At 38.5% G+C, this 21,572-nt stretch overlaps 1 protein-coding gene across 9 annotated transcripts in view, besides 3 other annotated features; it reads left to right on the forward strand.

Annotated features, from left to right (window-relative positions):
* The window catches only part of ACER3 (alkaline ceramidase 3), a 165,880-nt gene that overhangs the window by 67,285 nt on the left and 77,023 nt on the right, over positions 1 to 21,572 (forward strand). The gene's annotated exons all lie outside the window — the stretch shown is intronic.
* Positions 13,996 to 14,497: an enhancer, noted in NCBI's record as "NANOG hESC enhancer chr11:76653242-76653743 (GRCh37/hg19 assembly coordinates)". NCBI's record gives its function as "activates a minimal SCP1, AML or CMV promoter by ChIP-STARR-seq in primed H9 embryonic stem cells {active_cell/tissue: H9 hESC(primed)}" and the evidence as "EXISTENCE:reporter gene assay evidence [ECO:0000049][PMID:30033119]".
* Positions 17,250 to 18,038: an enhancer, noted in NCBI's record as "H3K27ac hESC enhancer chr11:76656496-76657284 (GRCh37/hg19 assembly coordinates)". NCBI's record gives its function as "activates a minimal SCP1, AML or CMV promoter by ChIP-STARR-seq in primed H9 embryonic stem cells {active_cell/tissue: H9 hESC(primed)}" and the evidence as "EXISTENCE:reporter gene assay evidence [ECO:0000049][PMID:30033119]".
* Positions 18,039 to 18,827: an enhancer, noted in NCBI's record as "H3K27ac hESC enhancer chr11:76657285-76658073 (GRCh37/hg19 assembly coordinates)". NCBI's record gives its function as "activates a minimal SCP1, AML or CMV promoter by ChIP-STARR-seq in naive and primed H9 embryonic stem cells {active_cell/tissue: H9 hESC(naive and primed)}" and the evidence as "EXISTENCE:reporter gene assay evidence [ECO:0000049][PMID:30033119]".

The raw sequence follows: 21,572 nt of genomic DNA on the forward strand, positions 1-21,572 counted from the left end.
GATGGCCAGTGATGGTGAGCATTTTTTCATGTGTTTTTGGGCTGCATAAATGTCTTTTTTTGAGAAGTGTCTGTTCATATCCTTTGCCCACTTTTTGATGGGGTTGTTTGTTTTTTTCTTGTAAATTTGTTTGAGTTCTTTGTAGATTCTGGATACTAGCCCTTTGTCAGATGAGTAGATTGCAAAAATTTTCTCCCATTCTGTAGGTTGCCTGTTCACTCTGATGATAGTTTCTTTTGCTGTGCAGAAGCTCTTTAATTTAATTAGATCCCATTTGTCAATTTTGGCTTTTGTTGCCATGCTTTTGGTGTTTTAGACATGAAGTCCTTGCCCATGCCTATGTCCTGAATGCTATTGCCTAGGTTTTCTTTTAGGGTTTTTATGGTTTTAGGTCTAATATTTAAGTCTTTGATCCATCTTGAATTAATTTTTGTATAAGGTGTAAGGAAGGGATCCAGTTTCAGCTTTCTACATATGGCTAGCCAGTTTCCCCAGCACCATTTATTAAATAAGGAATCCTTTCCCCATTTCTTGTTTTTGTCAGATTTGTCAAAGATCAGATGGTTGTAGATGTGTGGTATTATTTCTGAGGGCTCTGTTCTGTTCCATTGGTCTATATCTCTGTTTTGGTACCAGTACCAGGCTGTTTTGGTTTCTGTAGCCTTGTAGTATAGTTTGAAGTCAGGTAGAGTGATGCCTCCAGCTTTGTTCTTTTGGCTTAGGATTGACTTGGCAATGCGGGCTCTTTTTTAGTTCCATATGAACTTTAAAGTAGGTTTTTCCAATTCTGTGAAGAAAGTCATTGGTAGCTTGATGGGGATGGCATTGAATCTATAAATTACTTTGGGTAATATGGCCATTTTCACGATATTGATTCTTCCTACCCATGAGCATGGAATGTTCTTCCATTTGCTTGTGTCCTCTTTTATTTCGTTGAGCAGTGGTTTGTAGTTCTCCTTGAAGACGTCCTTCACATCCCTTGTAAGTTGGATTCCTAGGTATTTTATTCTCTTTGAAGCAATTGTGAATGGGAGTTCACTTATGATTTGGCTCTCTGTTTGTCTGTTATTAGTGTATAAGAATGCTTGTGATTTTTGCACATTGATTTTGTATCCTGAGACTTTGCTGAAGTTGCTTATCAGCTTAAGGAGATTTTGGGCTGAGACGATGGGGTTTTCCAGATATACAATCATGTCATCTGCAAACAGGGACAATTTGACTTCCTCTTTTATTAATTGAATACGCTTTATTTCTTTCTCCTGCCTGATTGCCCTGGCCAGAACTTCCAACACTATGTTGAATAGGAGTGGTGAGAGAGGGCATCCCTGTCTTGTGCCAGTTTTCAAAGAGAATGCTTCCAGTTTTTGCCCATTCAGTATGATATTGGCTGTGGGTCTGTCATAAATAGCTCTTATTATTTTGAGATATGTCCCATCAGTACCTAATACCTAATTTATTGAGAGTTTTTAGCACGAAGGGCTGTTGAATTTCGTCAAAGGCCTTTGCTGCATCTATTGCGATAACCATGTGGTTTTTGTCTTTGCTTCTGTTTATATGCTGGATTACGTTTATTGATTTGCATATGTTGAACCAGTCTTGCATCCCAGGGATGAAGCCCACTTGATCATGGTGAATAAGCTTTTTGATGTGCTGCTGGATTTGGTTTGCCAGTATTTTATTGAGGATTTTTACATCGATGTTCATCAGATATATTGGTCTAAAATTCTCTTTTTTTGTTGTGTCTCTGCCAGGCTTTGGTATTAGGATGAGGCTGGCCTCATAAAATGAGTTAGGGAGGATTGCCTCTTTTTCTGTTGATTGGAATAGTTTCAGAAGGAATGGTACCAGCTCCTCCTTGTACCTCTGGTAGAATTTGGCTGTGAGTCCGTCTGGTCCTGGACTTTTTTTGGTTGGTAGGCTATTATTGCGTCAATTTCAGAGCCTGTCATTGGTGTATTCAGGGATTCAGGTTCTTCCTGGTTTAGTCTTGGGAGAGTGTATGTGTCCAGGAATTTATCCATTTCTTCTAGATTTTCTAGTTTATTTGCATAGAGGTGTTTATAATATTCTGTGATGGTAGTTTGTATTTCTGTGGGATCAGTGGTGATATCCCCTTTATCATTTTTGATTGCATCTATTTGATTCTTCTCTCTTTTCTTCTTTATTGATCTTGCTAGAGGTCTATTAATTTTGTTGATCTTTTCAAAAAACCAGCTCCTGGATTCTTTGATTTTTTGAAGGGTTTTTTGTGTCTCTATCTCCTTCAGTTCTGCTCTGATCTTAGTTATTTCTTGCCTTCTCTTAGCTTTTGAATGTGTTTGCTCTTGCTTCTCTAGTTCTTTTAATTGTGATGTTAGGGTGTCAGTTTTAGATCTTTCCTGCTTTCTCTTTTGGGCATTTAGTGCTATACATTTCCCTCTACACACTACTTAAATGTGTCCCAGAGATTCTGGTATGTTGTGTCTTTGTTCTCATTGGTTTCAAAGAACGTCTGTATTTCTGCCTTCATTTCGTTATGTACCCAGTAGTCATTCAGGAGTAGGTTGTTCAGTTTCCATGTAGTTGAGAGGTTTTGAGTGAGTTTCTTAATCCTAAGTTCTAGTTTGATTGCACTGTGGTCTGAGAGACAGTTTGTTATAATTTCTGTTCTTTTACATTTGCTGAGGAGAGCTTTACTTCCAACTATGTGGTCAATTTTGGAATAGGGGTGGTGTGGTGCTGAAAAGAATGTATATTCTGTTGATTTGGGGTGGAGAGTTCTGTAGATGTCTATGAGGTCCGCTTGGTGCAGAGCTGAGTTCAATTCCTGGATATCCTTGTTAACTTTCTGTCTCGTTGATCTGTCTAATGTTGACAGTGGGGTGTTAAAGTCTCCCATTATTATTGTGTGGGAGTCTAAGTCTCTTTGTAGGTCACTAAGGACTTGCTTTATGAATCTGGGTGCTCCTGTATTGGGTGCATATATATTTAGGATAGTTAGCTCTTCTTGTTGAATTGATGCCTTTACCATTATGTAATGGCCTTCTTTGTCTCTTTTGATCTTTGTTGGTTTAAAGTCTGTTTTATCAGAGACTAGGATTGCAACCCCTGCCTTTTTTTGTTTTCCATTTGCTTGGTAGATCTCCCTCCATCCCTTTATTTTGAGCCTATGTGTGTCTCTGCACATGAGATGGATCTCCTGAATACAGCACACTGATGGGTCTTGACTCTTTATCCAATTTGCCAGCCTGTGTCTTTTAATTGGAGCATTTAGCCCATTTACGTTTAAGGTTAATATTGTTATGTGTGAATTTGATCCTGTCATTATGATGTTAGCTGGTTATTTTGGTCGTTAGTTGATGCAGTTTCTTCCTAGCATTGATGGTCTTTACAATTTGGCATGTTTTTGCAGTGGCTAGTACCAGTTGTTCCTTTCCATGTTTAGTGCTTCCTTCAGGAGCTCTTTTAGGGCAGGGCTGGTGGTGACAAAATCTCTCAGCATTTGCTTGTCTGTAAAGGATTTTATTTCTCCTTCACTTATGAAGCTTAGTTTGGCTGGATATGAAATTCTGTGTTGAAAATTCTTTCCTTTAAGAATGTTGAATATTGGCCCCCACTCTCTTCTGGCTTGTAGAGTTTCTGCTGAGAGATCAGCTGTTAGTCTGATGGGCTTCCCTTTGTGGGTAACCCATCCTTTCTCTCTGACTGCCCTTAACATTTTTTCCTTCATTTCCACTTTGGTGAATCTGACAATTATGTGTTTTGGAGTTGCTTTTTTTTTTTTTTTGACAGAGTCGCACTCTGTCACCCAGGCTGGAGTGTAGTGGTACAATCTTGGCTCACTGCAGCCTCAACCTCCCAGGTGCAAGCGATCCTCCTACCTTAGCCTCCCAAGTAGCTGGGACCACAGGCGTATGCCACCATGCCTGGCTAATTTTTGTATTTTTTTGTAGAGACAGGATTTCGCCATGTTGCCCAGGCTAATCTCAAACTCCTGAGATCAAGCAATCTTCCTGCCGTGGCCTCCCAAAGTGCTGGGATTACAGGTGTGTGCCACTGTGCCTGGCCTTATTTATTTTTTATAACTCTCTAAAGTCTCTTTCTTTTGTTTTAGCTCATGGTGAGTATTTCCACATTGACAGAAAGGACTTCTAATTATCCCAAAACTGTAAGCTATAGTGAATCATGTCAGATTCTACCTTAGATTATTTATTAGATATGAGAGACTTTAATTTCACAATCTGTTGCTCATATGCATTTTAAGAAAGTTACTTGATTATCTTCAAAAGGAAGACTTGTCTACAGACTTATCCCTTTGCTTTTTTTCTGGGGTGTTTTCATAATGTTTATAAAACATGGACAGATCACAATCTGTAACAACAATAAGAACAAAAAGACCTGAGGGACTTCCAGTTGCCCTAGGATAATGGTGGCCTCCTAAGCTGGAGTTTGTCCACTTATTCTCCCAGAAAAACATAGAGATTAATAAGGAAAACAAATAGAACTACGTGCAACCCACACTTTCAGCCTTACTAGGAGAAACAGTATTATGACCTTCAATTTATTTTAAAATAAGAAATAAACACCAAGTTCCAACAGAACTGTTTTCAGTGTTTCAGACTTGGAGATGTTTGAAAAACTATATGGAAAAGAGAAGAGAGGACTCAAGGGCCTAATTCTGACAAAAGTAGCAATAGAAAGATAAAACTCCACAATAAAGGCAGAATCTATGAAAGCAGTCTAAGATCTGGTAGATCACAGTACTGTCTAAAGGTAAAGGCCTTGAAAGTGTGTCAGACCAAAGGTGGCAGTTTTGGAAAGGCATCACTTCTGGGAAAGAGATAAGTAGAAAGGGGGAGGTGCCCTTTGGAGATGCGTTAGTGAAAGGAAAGAAGAACATTAAGGGGAATTAAGATCCTACCTAAAACAAAGAATTACAAAACACATCAACCTCTTCTCCCTTCACTGCTTCCCCAAATATATACGTATTTCATATATATATATATATATATGAAACTTCACTATTCTGACTGAAGTGGGCAGTCTTGAATTAGAAATCTTTTTTTTTTTTTTTAGCACATACTTATAATTTTTATTTTTTTTATTTTTTTATTTTTTTTATTGATCATTCTTGGGTGTTTCTCGCAGAGGGGGATTTGGCAAGGTCATAGGACAATAGTGGAGGGAAGGTCAGCAGATAAACAAGTGAACAAAGGTCTCTGGTTTTCCTAGGCAGAGGACCCTGCAGCCTTCCGCAGTGTTTGTGTCCCTGGGTACTTGAGATTAGGGAGTGGTGATGACTCTTAACGAGCATGCTGCCTTCAAGCATCTGTTTAACAAAGCACATCTTGCACCGTCCTTAATCCATTTAACCCTGAGTGGACACAGCACATGTTTCAGAGAGCACAGGGTTGGGGGTAAGGTCATAGATCAACAGGATCCCAAGGCAGAAGAATTTTTCTTAGTACAGAGCAAAATGAAAAGTCTCCCATGTCTACTTCTTTCTACACAGACACAGCAACCATCTGATTTCTCAATCTTTTCCCCACCTTTCCCCCTTTTCTATTCCACAAAACCACCATTGTCATCATGGCCCGTTCTCAATGAGCTGTTGGGTACACCTCCCAGACGGGGTGGCTGCCGGGCGGAGGGGCTCCTCACTTCCCAGACGGGGCGGCTGCCGGGCGGAGGGGCTCCTCACTTCTCAGATGGGGCGGCTGCCGGGCGGAGGGTCTCCTCACTTCTTAGTCGGGGCGGCCGGGCAGAGACGCTCCTCACCTCCTAGACGGGGTCGCGGCTGTGCAGACGTGCTCCTCACATCCCAGACGGGGCGGCGGGGCAGAGGCACTCCCCACATCTCAGACAATGGGCGGCCGGGCAGAGACGCTCCTCACTTCCTAGATGGGATGGCGGCCAGGAAGAGGCACTCCTCACTTCCTAGATGGGAGGGCGGCCGGGCAGAGACGCTCCTCACTTCCTAGATGGGATGGCGGCCGGGCAGAGACGCTCCTCACTTTCCAGACTGGGCAGCCAGGCAGAGGGGCTCCTCACGTCCTAGACGATGGGCAGCCAGGCAGAGACACTCCTCACTTCCCAGACGGGGTGGCGGCCGGGCAGAGGCTGCAATCTCGGCACTTTGGGAGGCCAAGGCAGGCGGCTGGGAGGTGGAGGTTGTAGCCAGCCGAGATCACGCCACTGCACTCCAGCCTGGGCACCATTGAGCACTGAGTGAACGAGACTCCGTCTGCAATCCCGGCACCTCGGGAGGCCGAGGCTGGCGGATCACTTGTGGCTAGGAGCTGGAGACCAGCCCGGCCAACGCAGCGAAACCCCGTCTCCACCAAAAAAATACGAAAACCAGTCAGGCGTGGCGTGCGCCTGCAATCGCAGGCACTCGGCAGGCTAAGGCAGGAGAATCAGGCAGGGAGGTTGCAGTGAGCCGAGATGGCAGCAGTACAGTCCAGCTTTGGCTCGGCATCAGAGGGAGACCGTGGAAAGAGAGGGAGAGGGAGACCGTGGGGAGACGGGAGAGGGAGGGAGACCGTGGAAAGAGAGGGAGAGGGAGACCGTGGGGAGACGGAGAGGGAGAAGGAGAGGGATTGAATTAGAAATCTTGTAAGCCACTTAAAATCTTTACTCTCTCTATAAAATAGACCCCCCAACATGCAGCCTATTTCCATGTAAAATTAGGGTAAAAACAGAAAATGAGAATCAAAACCATTTGCGTGATAGAATTTCTTCTCCACAACAAACTGTGAAACAGAAGGAAGATGTAATACAATACTCCTAACTGAATTAAGTTGCCTCAAACAAAGAAATGAATCAAAAATTTAAAAACTAATAACAGAAATAGCTCAATTCCTCTCCTCAAAAAAGACGAAACAAAATTAGAATTCATCGAACTTAATAAAGAAATTAAGACTAAATTACAGTGTGCTTGAGGGAGAGTAGAGTCTACTGAATATTTAATAGGGGCTGTTGTAGAAAGTCAGAGAAACAAGCAAGAAAATTAAAAGGAGATAAAGAAATAAAAAGGGTCAGAGAGAAAAGGATTGAAATGGAAGACAAGCAGAAAAGATCCAACGTGCATATAATTGGAGTCCCTAGGTGGCATGGGGGAAACCAGTGGAACATAATTATATTTAAAATTATAATTCAAGACAACTTTCTAGAAATGAAAAAAGACTTTAATATGTATATTGAAAGGTCCAATTTTGCCTGGTAAACTGATTTAGAATGATCAATTTTGAGATAGAGCCTAGTAAAACTATTGGATTGTAAAAATGAAATTATTGTCAAAGCTCTTGGAAATAAGCCTTGATTACTTACAAGGGACCGAAAATTAGACTGGCATCAGACCTTATCAGTAATATACAAAGAAAATACCAGTGGAGCAGCATTTTCTAAAAAAATGAAGAGGAAGTATAAGCCAAGTATTTTATATTCCAACCAGGTTGTTCTCTAGGTGCTCTAGTTATAGAAAAACAGTTTTAAACCTACAAATACTCATTGAATACTGTACACATGACTGCTTCCTGATGAATCTACTATTACTGCACTGTTCAATTTAGTAGCTGCTAGTCATATGTTGCAATTTAAATTAATTACATTTAAATAAAATGTAAAATTCAGTTCCTTTGTCACACTAGCCACATTTCAAGTGTTCAATACCCACATATGGCTTGTGACTACTATATTGGGCAGTGCAGATATAGAACATCTTCATTACTGCAGAAAGTTCTACCAGCCACACTGTACTAGAATGTCCATCCAGTCATGAGTACTGAAAAAGGCTTAATGCAAAAATAATTCCTAAAACAACAACAAAACACCCTGCATTAGTTTGTTTTCATGCTGCTGATAAAGACATACCCAAGACTAGGAAGAAAAAGAGGTTTACTGGACTTACGGTTCCACATGGCTGGGGAATCATGGCCTTACAATCATGGCAGAAAGCAAGGAGGAGCAAGTCACTTCTTACATGGATGGTGGCAGGCAAAGAGTAGATTCGAATTAGAATAGTATAGCACTGATATTCCAATAGACCATACAGTAGAGTTTTTAAAAAGTACAGAAATAGACCCAAACCTATATTGGGGTTTAGTATTAATAAAGATGACATCTCTAGTCACTGGGGCAAAGATGATGTGTTTTAATAAATGATGCTGAGGAAAAGAATTGGATGTGTGCCTTATACATAAGAATAAATTCTAAATTGATAAGAAGGCTAAAAGTAAAAATAAAAATCTTCCAACTACTAGGAGAAAACGTGTGTGCATTCTTACATGGGGAAGAATCTTTGGGAAAAGACTTTCTATGATTCAAAATTCAGGTATAAGAAAGGAAAAGGTTGACAAATTATGTAAAATAAAAAAAACTTTTGTTATATAACATTTACGTTGTATTAAAAAATAAAGTCGCTTTTGCATGACAAAAAATAGCATAAGCAAACTCAAAAGCAAAAGGCCACATGGTAAAAATATTCACAAGAAAAGGTTTAATATCCCTAATATACAATTTTTCTTTTCTTTCTTTCTTTCTTTTTTTTTTTTTTAAGACAGAGTCTCGCTCTGTCGCCCAGGCTACAGTGCAGTGGTGCAATATTTGCTTGCTGCACCCTCCCCCACCTGGGTTCAGGCAGTTCTCCTGCCTCAGCCTCCCGAGTAGCTGGGATTACAGAGTGCACCACCATGCCCAGCTAATTTTTGTATTTTTAGTAGAGATGGGATTTCCCCATGTTGGCCAGGCTGATCTTGAACTCCTGACCTCAAGTGATCTGCCCACCTCAGCTTCCCAAAATGTTGGTATTACAGGCATGAGCCACTGTGCCCGGCCAATAATTTTAAGCATTGAATTATAAAAAGATGAAAAATTCAATAGGAAAACGTGGTCAAATACAGAAAATTCTCCAAGAAAGATATAAAAAATAGCTCACAAGTATAAGAAAAAATATTCAGTTTACTTAATAAGAGAAATGCAAATGAAAACTACACTGATACATTATTTCTCATTTATTAGATGGGCAAAGTGTCAGACTCTTGACAACACTATTTTGGCAAGGCTGTGGGAGAAATAGGCATTCTTCTTGCATTGCTGATGAGAACACAAAGTTTTTGAAGCTGAATTTGGCAATATCTGACAACTATATATGCATTTATCGTTTGACCCAACAATCACACTTCTAAGAATTTACTGTGAAGATATGCCATCAACAGTTCAAAATTAAATGTACACAAGGTTACTGTAGTAGTATTTGTAATTACAAAATAATGTGAACAGACTTACAAAAATTGGTTGAATAAACTGGTATATGTACATCACAAGTACTATGAAGATGTAGAAAGGATGAGAAGTGTCACTGAACTGATATGGATATGTTAAGTAAGTAAAAGATGAGAATGTAAAATAATATTTAAAAAGTTGGTATACAACTTTTTTGCTAGTAAAAAGAAAATATACACATTACTTATTTTTTCAAAAAGAAATAAGATGAACCAGAAAATAATGAAACTGTCTACTGCAGGGGGTGGATAGAAATGGTGTGGAAAAGATAGAGGAGAGAGTGACACTTCTGAGTATGTATGTTTGTATTTTTATTTCAAAAGTATGTTATTATTTCACATATTCAAAAATGTAACTAGATTATCCAGACTAAATCTGATTAACTTTTGAAATAGTATTATTATTACATATCCTCAATCTGAAAACAAAAGAAAACCTCGCTTTCCTACGTTTATTTACTATATGTTTATTGTTGGTAGTGGTATGGGTATAGCAATTCTGAAGCTGTCTTTGTATGCATCTTAGGATTTTGTTTTTTGGGGTTGTTTGTTTGTCGTGGTTGTTGTTTTGAGACAGGTTCTCACTCTCCTGCTCAGGCTGGAATGCAGTGGTGCAATCACGGCTCTCTACAGCCTTGACCTCAGGGCTCAAACAATCCTCCCACCTTGGTCTTCCTAGTAGTTGGGACTTCAAGCATGCATCACCATGCCTGGTTAATTTTTGTATTTTTTTGTAGAGATGGGGTTTCACCATGTTGCCCAGGCTGGTTTGGAACTCCTGGGCTCAAGCGATTCGCTCACGTTGGCCTGTCAAAATGCTGAGATTACAGGCTTGACCCATTGCATTAGAAAAGCAAATGAAAAACTTTTTTTTGAGACAGGGTCTTGCTCTGTCACCTAGGCTGGAATGCAATGGTACTATCACGGCTTACTGCGGCCTCAACCTCCCAGGCTGAAGCAATCCTTCCACCTCAGCCTCTGAAGTAGCTGGGACTACAGGTGCGCACCACTACACCCGGCTTACTTATTTATTTATTGGTAGAAACAGGTCTCCCTATGTTGCCCAGGCTGGTCTTGAATTCCTGGCCCCAAGAAATCTTCATGCTTCAGCCTCCCAATGTGTTCAGATTACAGGTGTGAGCCAGCATGTCTGGCCTTGAAAACCTATATTGATATTGTTAGGAGCTAGGATTCTCACTGTGGAAGAAGGGAGATACAGATTTGGATGAGCGAAGGCAAGGAAAAAACCCTGTGGTACTGGATTGGAGTTAGAGGTATCAGCATGATTTTTTTTATTGATTTCAAATGCTCTATTGTCTGAAAGGGCCTGGGAGCAATGACGGCTTAGTAGCAATGAACATACCTATTAATAGTGCTAGACTTTGGTTTTTAAGTCTTTCTGCACTGAAAGGAACCAAAACTTCGTGGAGAAGTGGCCCATTTTTGGGCTAAGGCAGGGAAAGTACAAGATAAGCCTGGAACATCTTGTCAGAAAGTAAGAAAGTGCTAAAAAAAATGAAGGAATCATGTCAAAGTAACACAGAAGGCAGTTTGGCCAAACCAGGACAATCTGAACTTAATAATCTGAAAAATAACAGTAATAGATTTTAACATGTGGTATAAAAAAAATCCATGAGTTCCTATGATTCTAAAAAACACAAATGGGGTGAGAAGAGAAAGCTTAAAAAAAGTAGAATGCCAACTAATAAATGTAAACAGAATGATAAAATAACTGATTTAGGCAAGAGTCATCAGTGAATATAAAACTATTTGGTCAGAGTGTTTGGTCAACAAGATAATTACAACTTCACAGTATCTCCTCACAGATTACTCATTATTTACAAAGGGAAGAATGTTAACAGTGGGGAAATCTGGCAGATACCATCTTGTTTTCAAGTAATCAAAGTTAACCGCATTAATAATGGTACATTCAGCCTGGGCAACATAGTGAGACCTTGTCTTTGCAAAACAAAAATCTTTTAAATTAGACAGGCATGGTGGTGCATGCCTGTAGTCTCAACTAGTCAGAAGGCTGAGGCAGGAGGATTCCTTGAGTCGAGGAGGTAGAGGCTGCAGTGAGCCAGGATTGTGCTGCTGCACTCTAGCCTGGGTGACAGAGTGAGATGCTATCTCTAAAAACAAACAAACAAAAACAAAGGTACAAACTGACAGCAGGTTCTTCCTGGTGTGATATACCAAAAAGGAAACATCATTATACAGTATTATTGCCAAAAGTGCTGAATGAAATTAAGAGAATATAACCAGAAAAAAACAAATTGAGGAGCAATTTATAAAACAACTGTCCTGTGTGCTTCTAAAATGTTAGTGTCATGAAAAACAAATAATTCATCTTGAATTGTTCCAGATTAAAAGAGACAAGACGGCTAAATGCAATATGTAATCACAGATTAGATTCTGGGTTGGGGCATGAGGGGAAGAAGCTCTACAGGGACAATATTGGATGAATCAGTGAAAGTTGAATAAGGACTTTATAATAGATAGTAATACTACATTAATGATAAATTTCCTGAATTTGCTTATTATAATATGATCATGTAAGAGAATGTCCATGCTTAGGAGATACATCCTGAAGTATTTAGAGGTAAAGAGTCATGCTCTCTGCAACTTACTTTCAAATAGTTGAGCAAAATAACAATATGTTTATTGCTTTATTTTAGATACTTAAATTTTTTTTTTTTAAATAGAGATGGGTTCTCACTATGTTGGCCTGGGTTGGCCTTCAACTCCTGGCCTCAAGCAGTCCTCCCACCTCAGCCTCCCAAAGTGCTAGGATTACAGGCATGAGCCACCGCACCCAGCCAACTTTTTAAATATATTGAGAGATAAAGATAAAATGCAAAATGTTAATAATGCGTAAACCTAATTTAAGGTTGTATAGGAGTTCATTGTAATACTTTTGTAACTTTTTTTTCTAAATGGGAAATGGGTTAAAATATTTTTAAAATAAAATGTGTAATTGTTTTAAAAGAATTGTTGAACATTTTAAAAGATTTATTGGTATACTATCATCAGCTATAAGTACATATAGACAATAGTATGTATAGTCTATAGTATACCAAGCAACTTAACAATGAATGAGAGTTTTGGAATAAGTAAAGCTAGGAACAGAAGTGGGTAGCGATTATAGGAGTATTTTTCTGACTTAACAATCCTTCTCTTCTTATCCACCAACTGTGGTGGTAAATGACTTCTTCCTCTGTGCTACTTCTATACCTTATTCTTACTTTTTGGATTGCACTTATATCACTGTATGTGGTACTGTCATAATCTGTTTTTAAGTATCCGTCCCTTCTATAAGACGAAGCTTCCTAAAAGTAGGGTTGAGTTTTATTCTTTTGGATTTTCTGCATTCAGCAATACCTGGTACAAACTAAACACATGGGAATGTTCGATGGATAAGTGAATGAAAAAAATGAATGCTTTATTTTAAACACCTCTAAACATTAGGCAAATTTTGCTAAAACTTCTTATATTCTTGTTTGAATTTTACACTGAGTTAAGTCTCCCCACCAAATATGTGTGTGTATAAACACACACACACACACACACACACACACGCACACACACACGCACACAGAAAGCAGGGAAGAGAAGGGGAGAAGAGAGAGGAACACAACTTTACCTGGAAACAGAGATTTTATTTCAAATCAAGGATATTTGCTGAATACCGTAACAAGATTTTCAGTTTTTTATTTTTTGACAAAACCCCATAACAACTGCTTAACTGATATGCACTTAGTTGTTGGTGTTGAAAGAGATTTTGTAGAAAGAAGTGGGAATTTCGGCTTTGTGGAGAAATATTTCAGAAACAGACAATAATTTATGAGGTTTCTGGTTTAGAGCATAGATCCACTAAGAATTTAGTCATTTTAAAATTTATTTGAAAAATATTTACTGAATATCTATTATGTGCTAGTTATAATTCTCAAAACCAGTGTTCATTGGAGCTTATAGTCTAGCATGGGGAGACAGAAATTAATTAGATAATTTTAATTTTTTATTTTTATTTATTATTATTTTTTGAGACAGAGTCTTGCAGTGTAGTTTGAAGTCAGGCAATATGATGCCTCCAGCCTGTTCTTTTCACTTGAGGCAATATGATGCCTCAGCCTTGTTCTTTTCTCTTTCACTTAGGATTGCTTTGGCTATTCTGCCTCTTTTTTGGTTTCATATGAACCTTAGAATAGGTTTTTTCTAATTTTGTGGAAAATGATGATATTTTGATAGGGATTTCATTGAACCTGTAGATTGATTTGGGCAGTATGATCATTTTAATGATATTAATTCTTCCAATCCATGAGCATGGGATGTTTTTCCATTTGTTTGTGTCCTCTACAATTTGTTTAATCAGTGTTTTGTAATTTTCCTTGTAGAGCTCTTTTATCTCCTTGGTTAAATATATTTCTAGGTATTTTATTATTATTATCATTATCATTATTTAACTATTATAAATGGAATTGCTTTCCTGATTTGGCCCTCCAATAGATCATTGTTGGTTTATAGAAATACTATTGATTTATGTACATTGATTTTGTATCCTGAAACTTTACTGAATTCATTGATCAAATCTGAGAGTTTTTTTGGTGGAGTCTTTAGGATTGTCTGGATATAAGATTATATAGTCAGCAAACAGGGCTACTTTGACTTCTTCTTTTCCAATTTGGATGTCTTTTATTTTTTTCTTTTGCCTGATTGCTCTGGCTAGAACTTCCACAGTATATTGAATAAGAGTGGTGAAAGTGGGCATCCTTGTCTTGTTCCAGTTCTTAGAGGGAATGCTTTCAACTTTTCCACATTAAGTATGATGTTGGCTATGGATTTGTTGTATCTGGCCTTTATTATGTTGATATATGTTCCTTCTATGCCTTGTTGAGGATTTTTGTTATGAAAGGATGTTGAGTTTTAATGGATTTTTTTTTGCATCTATTGAGATGATCATATGGTTTTTGTTCTTCATTCTTTTTATGTGATGATTTGCATTTATTGATTTGCATATGTTGATTTTTGTATTTGCATATGTTTAACTATCCTTGCCTCCCTGGGATAAATGCCACTTGATCATGGTGTATTATGTTTTTGATGTGCTGTTGGATTTGATTTGTTAGTATTTTGTTGAGGTTTTTTATGTCTATGTTCATCAGAGATATTGGTCTGTAGTTTTCTTTTTTGTTTTTGTGTCCTTGTCTGGTTTTGGTATCATGGTGATTCTGGCTTTGTAGAATTAAGAAGAATTCCCTCCTCTTTGATTTTTTGGGTTAGTTTCAGGAGTATTGGTATTAGTTCTTCTTTGTATGTTTGGTAGAACTTGGCTGTGGATCCATCTACTCCTAGACTTTGTTTTGTTGGGAGATTTTTTTTAAATCACTGATTCAATCTCACTAGTAATTATTGATCTATTCAGGAGTTTCATTTCTTCCTGGTTTAGTTTGGGGAGGTTGTATGTTTCCCAGAATTTATCTATTTCCTCTAGGCAGAGTGAATAGTTGTTTATAATAGTCTCTGATGATCTTTTGTATTTTTGTGGTATCAATTGTAATGTCTCCCTTTTCATTTCTGATTTTTATTTGGATCTTCTCTCTTCTTGGTTAGTCTAGCTAGTGGTTTATCAATCTTGTTTATCTTTTCAAAGAACCAACTTTTCATTTTGTTGATCCTTTGCTTTTTTTGTTTGTTTCATTTATTCCTGCTCTTATCTTTGTACTTCTTTTCTTCTGCTAACTTTGGGTTTGGTTTGTTCTTGTTTTTCTAGTTCCTTGAGGTGTGACATGAATTGTTAATTTATGATCTTTCTACTTTTTTGATGTAGGGATTTAATGCTATCAACTTCCCTCTTAGCACTGCTTTTGCTGTATACCACCAGTTTGGGTGTGTTGTTTCCATTTTCATTTATTTCAAAAGATTTTAAAATTTCTATCTTACTTCCTTCATTGGACTAGCGATCATTCAGAAGCATGTTGTTTAATTTCTGTGTGTTTGTATAGTTTCCAGAGTTCCTTTGGTAGTGATTTCTAGCTTTATTCCACTGTGATCTGAGAAGATACTTAATACGATTTTGATTTTTTTAAAAATTTTAAGACTTATTTTGTGGCCTAACATGGTATATCTTATACAGTGTTCCATGTGGTGATGAAAATAATATATATTCTGTAGTTGTTGGGTAGAATGTTCTGTAAATATCTGAAAAGTCCATTTGGTCTAAAGTCCAATGTTTCTTTGCTAATTTTATCTTGATGATCTATCTAGTGCGGTCAGTGATGTGTTGAAGACCCCCCCCCCCACTATTATCATATTGCTGTATACTTCTTTCTTTAGGTCTAATAATACTTGTTTTGTGAATTTGGGTGCTCTGATGTTGGGTGCATATATATTTAAGATTGTCATATTCTCTTGCAGAATTGATACCTTTATCATTATATAATGACCTTTGTCCTTTTTTTTTTTTTACTGTTTTTGATTTAAAGTCTATTTTATCTGATATAAGTATAGTTATTCCTGTGCACTTTTGATTTCTGTTTTCATAGAATGTCTTTTTCTACCCCTTTACTGTCAGTCTATATGTGTCTTTATAGGTAAGGTGAGTTTCTTGTATGTAGATATAGCTGGATCATGCTTTCTAAAATCCATTCTGTCAATCTATATATTTTAAGTGGATCATTTAATCCATTTACATTCAAGGTTAATATTGATATGTGAGGCTTTGTTCCTGTCCATTGTTAATTGTTTTCTAGTTGTCTTTTTGTCTTTGTGGTTTAATGAAATTCTATTGTGTTCACATTTGATTCTTTTCCTCCTTTGTGCAATTGTTTTATAAGACTTATGAGTTTTATATTTTCATGTGTTTTCAGGATGGTGGTTATTGACCTTTCGTTTCCATGTTTTAGACTCCTTTGAGTATTTCCTGAAGGACCAGTCTAGTGGTAACAAATTCTCTCTGTGTTTGCTTCTCTGGGAAAGACTTTATTTTGCCTTTATTTGTGAAACTTATTCTGGCAGGATATAAAATTTTTGGCTGATTCTTTTTTCTTTCAGCACTTTGATAATGCCATTCCATTCTCTTCTGGCCTGTAAGGTTTCTATTAGAAAGTCTGCTGTTAGTTTGATGGGGTTTCCTTTATATTGACTAGATGCTTTTCTCTTACTAATTTTAAAATTCTTTCTTTTACTTTGACTTTTGACATTCTGAATATAATATGCCATAGTGATGTCCTCTTTGCAGTGTATTTGCCTGGGGATTGCTGGACCTCCTGAATCTGGATGTCTAACTCTCTTGCTTGACTTGGAAAGTTTTTATTGACTATTTCCTTAAATATGTTTTCTGAACTTTTTGATCTCTCTTCCCCATTGGAATACTGATAATTTATAAGTTCAGTCATTTTATGTAGTCCCAGATGTCTTGAAGGCTTTGTTCATTCTTTTTTATTATTTTTTTCCCCTATTTTTGTCTGATTGGATTATTTCAAAAGACCTGTCTTCAAGTTCTGAGATTCTTTCTTCTGCTTGGTCTAGTCTATTATTGAAGCTTTTAAATGTATTTTGTTGTTTTTTTTTCAATGGATTTTTCATTTCCAGAATTTCTCTTTGGTTTTTGTTTAAGATATTTATCTCTTTGGTAAATTTCTCATTTATATCCTGAATTGTTTTTCTGATTTATTTGTATTGGTTCTCAGATTTCTCCTGTATCTCATGGAGCTTCTTCAAAATCAATATTTTGAATTTTTTATCTGGCATTATTTTTGGTTGGGATCTGGTGCTGGACAACTGTTGTGGTCCTCTGATGGTGTCAGTTTCCTGCTTGTTCATGTTTCCCATGTCCTTCCGTTGATATCTAAACATCTGGTTTAGTATTCACTTGTTCCAATTTTTTGAAATTGCTTTTGCAGGGCAGAATTTTTTCCTGAAGATAGATATATGTTGTTGGTTGAATAGGATGCTTTGGCTTTGATTTTGGGTGCCTGCAGTAGTGTGATCTTTGTATGACTTCTTTGGCAGTACACGGGTTCAGTGGTATCTGTTATTTCCTCTGTGGCTTAGGGTATAGTTAGATGAGGCTGTGGTGAAGTTTTGCTGGGGGCTTGGACACCCGCTGAGCCAGTATTCATACCCCACTGGTGGCAGAAGTAGGCTGTGTGTCAGTTTTTAGTCTCCAAAGCAGCATACGCTGGCACCAGTGTTAGTGGGTACTGGAGGGCTGATTCTTGGGCCTGCACTTCACTTGCTTAGAAGCTAGGAGTGGAAGTACAGCTTCCAGGTATGTGGGCAGGTTCTCAAACTCCTGGGCAGCTGGTGTGATATGGGTAATGGCAATAGTGGTAGTGGAGCAATCCACTGGGAGCCACGTGGTCTTTGCTGGTGTTGCTAGTAGCTGTGATGGGTTGGGCAGGCTAGTCCTCAGTCCCACAGCTGCCTGAAACAGGGTGATAGGTATTGTCCTAGTTATGAGCAGGAGAGTCTGTTTTCCCTGTGCCTCCCTCGGCTGGTTGGTGGTTGCAGCCGAGTAGCCTCAAACTCAGTCTGAGGGCACAGCCTTGCATTAAACTCTCAAAATGGTGCTAGCAGGGGCCTGTGACCAGGGAGGGCAAGGCCCCTCTCAGGTGCGTAGCATGGGCAAGTGTGAGGAGTGTGTTCTGCTCAAGTCTCAGTCTCACAGCAGTCTGTAGCAGAGCAGTGGGTATTATCCTTGGTACATGTAAGAGAGCCTGATTTCCCTGTCCCTCCTCAGCCAGGCAGGAGATGCAGCCTTATCAGCTCAAACTGAGCCCAAGGGCAAGGCACAGCCCAGCATTAAACTTTCTAAATGATGCCTTGGACCTGCAACCCAGGAGGGAAGGGTGCATCTTAGGAAGGCAGCATGGGCAAGAAGCTGTGGGGAGTACGATCTGCTTGAGTCTCAGTTTCACAGCAGTCTGTAGCAGGGTGGTGGGTATTGTCCTAAGTATGAGTAGGAGAGCTTAGTTTCTCTGTCACTCCTTGGCCAGGTGGTGGCTGCAGCCACATCAGCCCAAACTCAGCCTGAGGGTGGAGCACAGCCCAGCATTAAACTCTCAATATGGTGCCTAGGGTGGGGACTAGGTAGGGCAGGGCCCCTTCCAGGTAAGCAGTGTGAGCTAGAGGCTCTGGAGAGTGTGGTCCACCTGCATCTCAGTCTCAACAGTAGCCACAAGCAGGGCAGTAAGGACCCTCCCAGGGGTACATGGGAGCACCCAGTCTCCCCTCCCCTCCTTGGAGCAGCGTAGCATCAGCAGCTTCATCTGTAGGTTCCTGATATCTAGGCTGTCACAATGGCATTTAGCCAACGCTGGTCTAGGCTTGGATGCCTGTGGGATTTCACGTTGATTCCCTTTCTGGAGCAACATCTCTGGGCAATCTCCAGGTAGCTTTCTGTGTCAGGCCTGAGGCCCGCAAGGGTTGAGGGGTTCTCCCTAGCCAAGATTGTAAAAGCCCATTTTGGAGTGTGGAACTCAGAGGGTTTCTCTCTTCTTGTTTTTCTACATCCAGGACCCTCCCCAGGCTTTCAGTCAGTCCCTGGCTAGGCAAGTTGCCTTGAACCCTCTCTTTATTCACTTTTGGTGCATCTTGTCACTTCTATGGCGAATCCTAGTGTTCTCTCCTAGACAATCTGTTTGAAAGGTATCTGCTTACTATTCTGGTTCCTCTCTGTGGAGGAGATACACACTACCTGTGTCTTGTCAGTCATCTCTCCCTCTTTTCCTTCACAGTGCCTGATATTCTTAGGTACTGGCAATGAAAATATGAACAACACACCTTCCCTGAGCCAGAGGAATTTATGACAGTTCCCAAGAGGAGAGGGTACACTGCACTATGCAGGGCCTCATGGGGAAGCACCAGGACCCAAAGTGATTTTCATCAGAAAAGGCCCATTGGAAATTCTTTGCATGGAGCAAGCTTAATTAAGTTTAGTGTGATCATATCTATAGTCTGTCACTGCCAGAGTAAATAAAAGTCATCTTAAGTGATCTTAACAATATTTTACGTCTTATCAAGGAGAAATTGAGTGGATGCTTTAGCATACTATATCCTGGTCTAATAGACTTTTAAATTGTAGCAATTACACTTAGTATTGAAATAGGCATCAAATCAATGTGCCATGGAAAGGATTTTTGGAAATCATTTTACAGCTTGCTTAGTAGCTCATTTATTTCCCCCTCTCTTTTTTAGTCCAATCTGTCAAAAATATTAGTGACCTCTTATTTTTTAGTCTGCTAAATAGTAACATTGAAGAAAAATGTGGGGAAAGCAATGAAAAATATTCATAATCCCATCATCCAACAGAAATAATATTTTTATTTTTTGGTTAATAGCTCCAGTACTTGTGCATATGGAAGTATGATTTTCAGATAACTACATTTGGAATAAACATGTTTAACCTAGTAGCCCAAACCCACGGACAGGACCAATCAGAGATGCAGAACCACAGATAGCTAAGTAGCCCATGTAGTCAGTGAACAGGAAATGAAATGAGATGGCCAGGTACGTAGCTTGGTAGAATTGCCTAAGGCGGAAAGCAGGCAGCTGCAATGGCTCTTCATGTGGTTCCTATAGGCCTCAGTTGTGGCTTATGTTTCATAGGGTTTTAGGCTGGAGCTAGAATTAGACAATAATTGAATAACAAATTATTTTCTAAGAAAAAAGGTATAAAAGATTATAACATCTAGTCTCATTTTTGGTATTACCATTCTGTTATTGCTGTAGCTCCATTCTGGCTCACTCTGTGTGTGTGTGTGTGTGTGTGTGTGTGTGTGTGTGTGTGTGTGTGTGTGTGTAGGTGTGTAGGTTACTATAATAAGGTTACATACTAGTTAACAGATAAATTAGAGAATGATCTGTTCCCTTGAGGGTAGATGGGGAACAATTTAAAACGCTCTTTTTAAATAACCTAAATGGCTTCTTATCAGTATAAGGATAAAGTCCAAACTTCTTAGGACAACTTTCCAAGGTTCATGCTCTCAATTACTGCACTCTACTACCCCTCTAATATGATAGTGCATTTTGTTTCTATTGTGAATGCTATCTTCACTTGGAAAGCTACAGCCATGCATGCCCTGGAAGTCATAGTTGGCATTATTTTGATAGTACTAATAACACTAAAACCTCTGAATATGTAGATTTTATATCATATACCAGGCTGCTGATGCCTTGACACTTTATGGAAACATGACCTTCTCCTTGTATCATGTATTCTAGGTCCCTTCTTATGCATTATGGTAAACCATGATGTGATTTAAAAGGAACTTGTAATTCTTGGGCTTTTAAATTTCTGTCATGGCAAATAAGCTAACTTGCTTCCAAAATCTAATTATGTCATCTTTGTACCTGAATTTTTCATAGTTTGAGTTAGACTAGAAAATAAAATTCATTGATACCTATTGTATGCCAGACACATGGTAGATAATCCTCATAGCAACCTTTCATGACAAATATTATCCTTATTTTATAGCTAAGGCAACTGAGTCTCAAAGAGATTTAAGCAGCTCTCTAAAGTTAGTAATAAGTGATAAATCTGGGATTCTAGTCTAGGTCTGATCCCAAAACCCTTGTACACTATTTCCAGTGTGATCAGATGAGTCAAAATAAATGTGTATCGGAGCATATTTGTGTTTTATTGTAACCTTGAAAAACTTTGGCTGGTAGTTTGCCAAGATATCTGAATCCAGAGGTTCCAACTGAGTGAAATTCTATTATACACTTGAGAAACTCTTAAAACTATAGTAAAGTGTGAATATGAACATCTGATTAGAAGATGCAGATGGTACCCTGACCTCCTTTTTCCAATTTCATTTCTATTTTAATTGTATCTGTCTTCACTTTGGACATGACCATATGGGGAAACGTATCCCTATTACTTATTTTGTGGAGTGTGCTGGATAATTTCTACAGATATGAATTTTATATTAACTTTGATGTCACAAACAGGCAAGTCAAATGCAGCTCTTCATCATGATGAAATGTTGGCTAAAAGAGTCACCCTAATATTAATAAAATGTTTTATTCTTCATGTGACTAAATCAGTGTGCATGCAAGAAAAAGAAAGAAAAAATGCTTAGATTCCTTTTTTAAATTATCTCCAGAATTTCTAATTTTTATAAATTAAGGACCAACAAATCCCATTTTGTTTTCACGTTTGACATTTGTTCCTTTGACTTAAATAACTTCTCCACTCTTTATTTTCCTATTTGTGGTGATTTGAATAATTTTTCAGAAAATATGTACTTTCTGATAAATTGTAGTGTGTCAGTAATGAAAACTGTTCTATGGTGCTAAACTTCACCTGTT

Source organism: Homo sapiens, chromosome 11, assembly GCF_000001405.40.
Source record: "Homo sapiens chromosome 11, GRCh38.p14 Primary Assembly".
Lineage (NCBI taxonomy): Eukaryota > Metazoa > Chordata > Mammalia > Primates > Hominidae > Homo > Homo sapiens.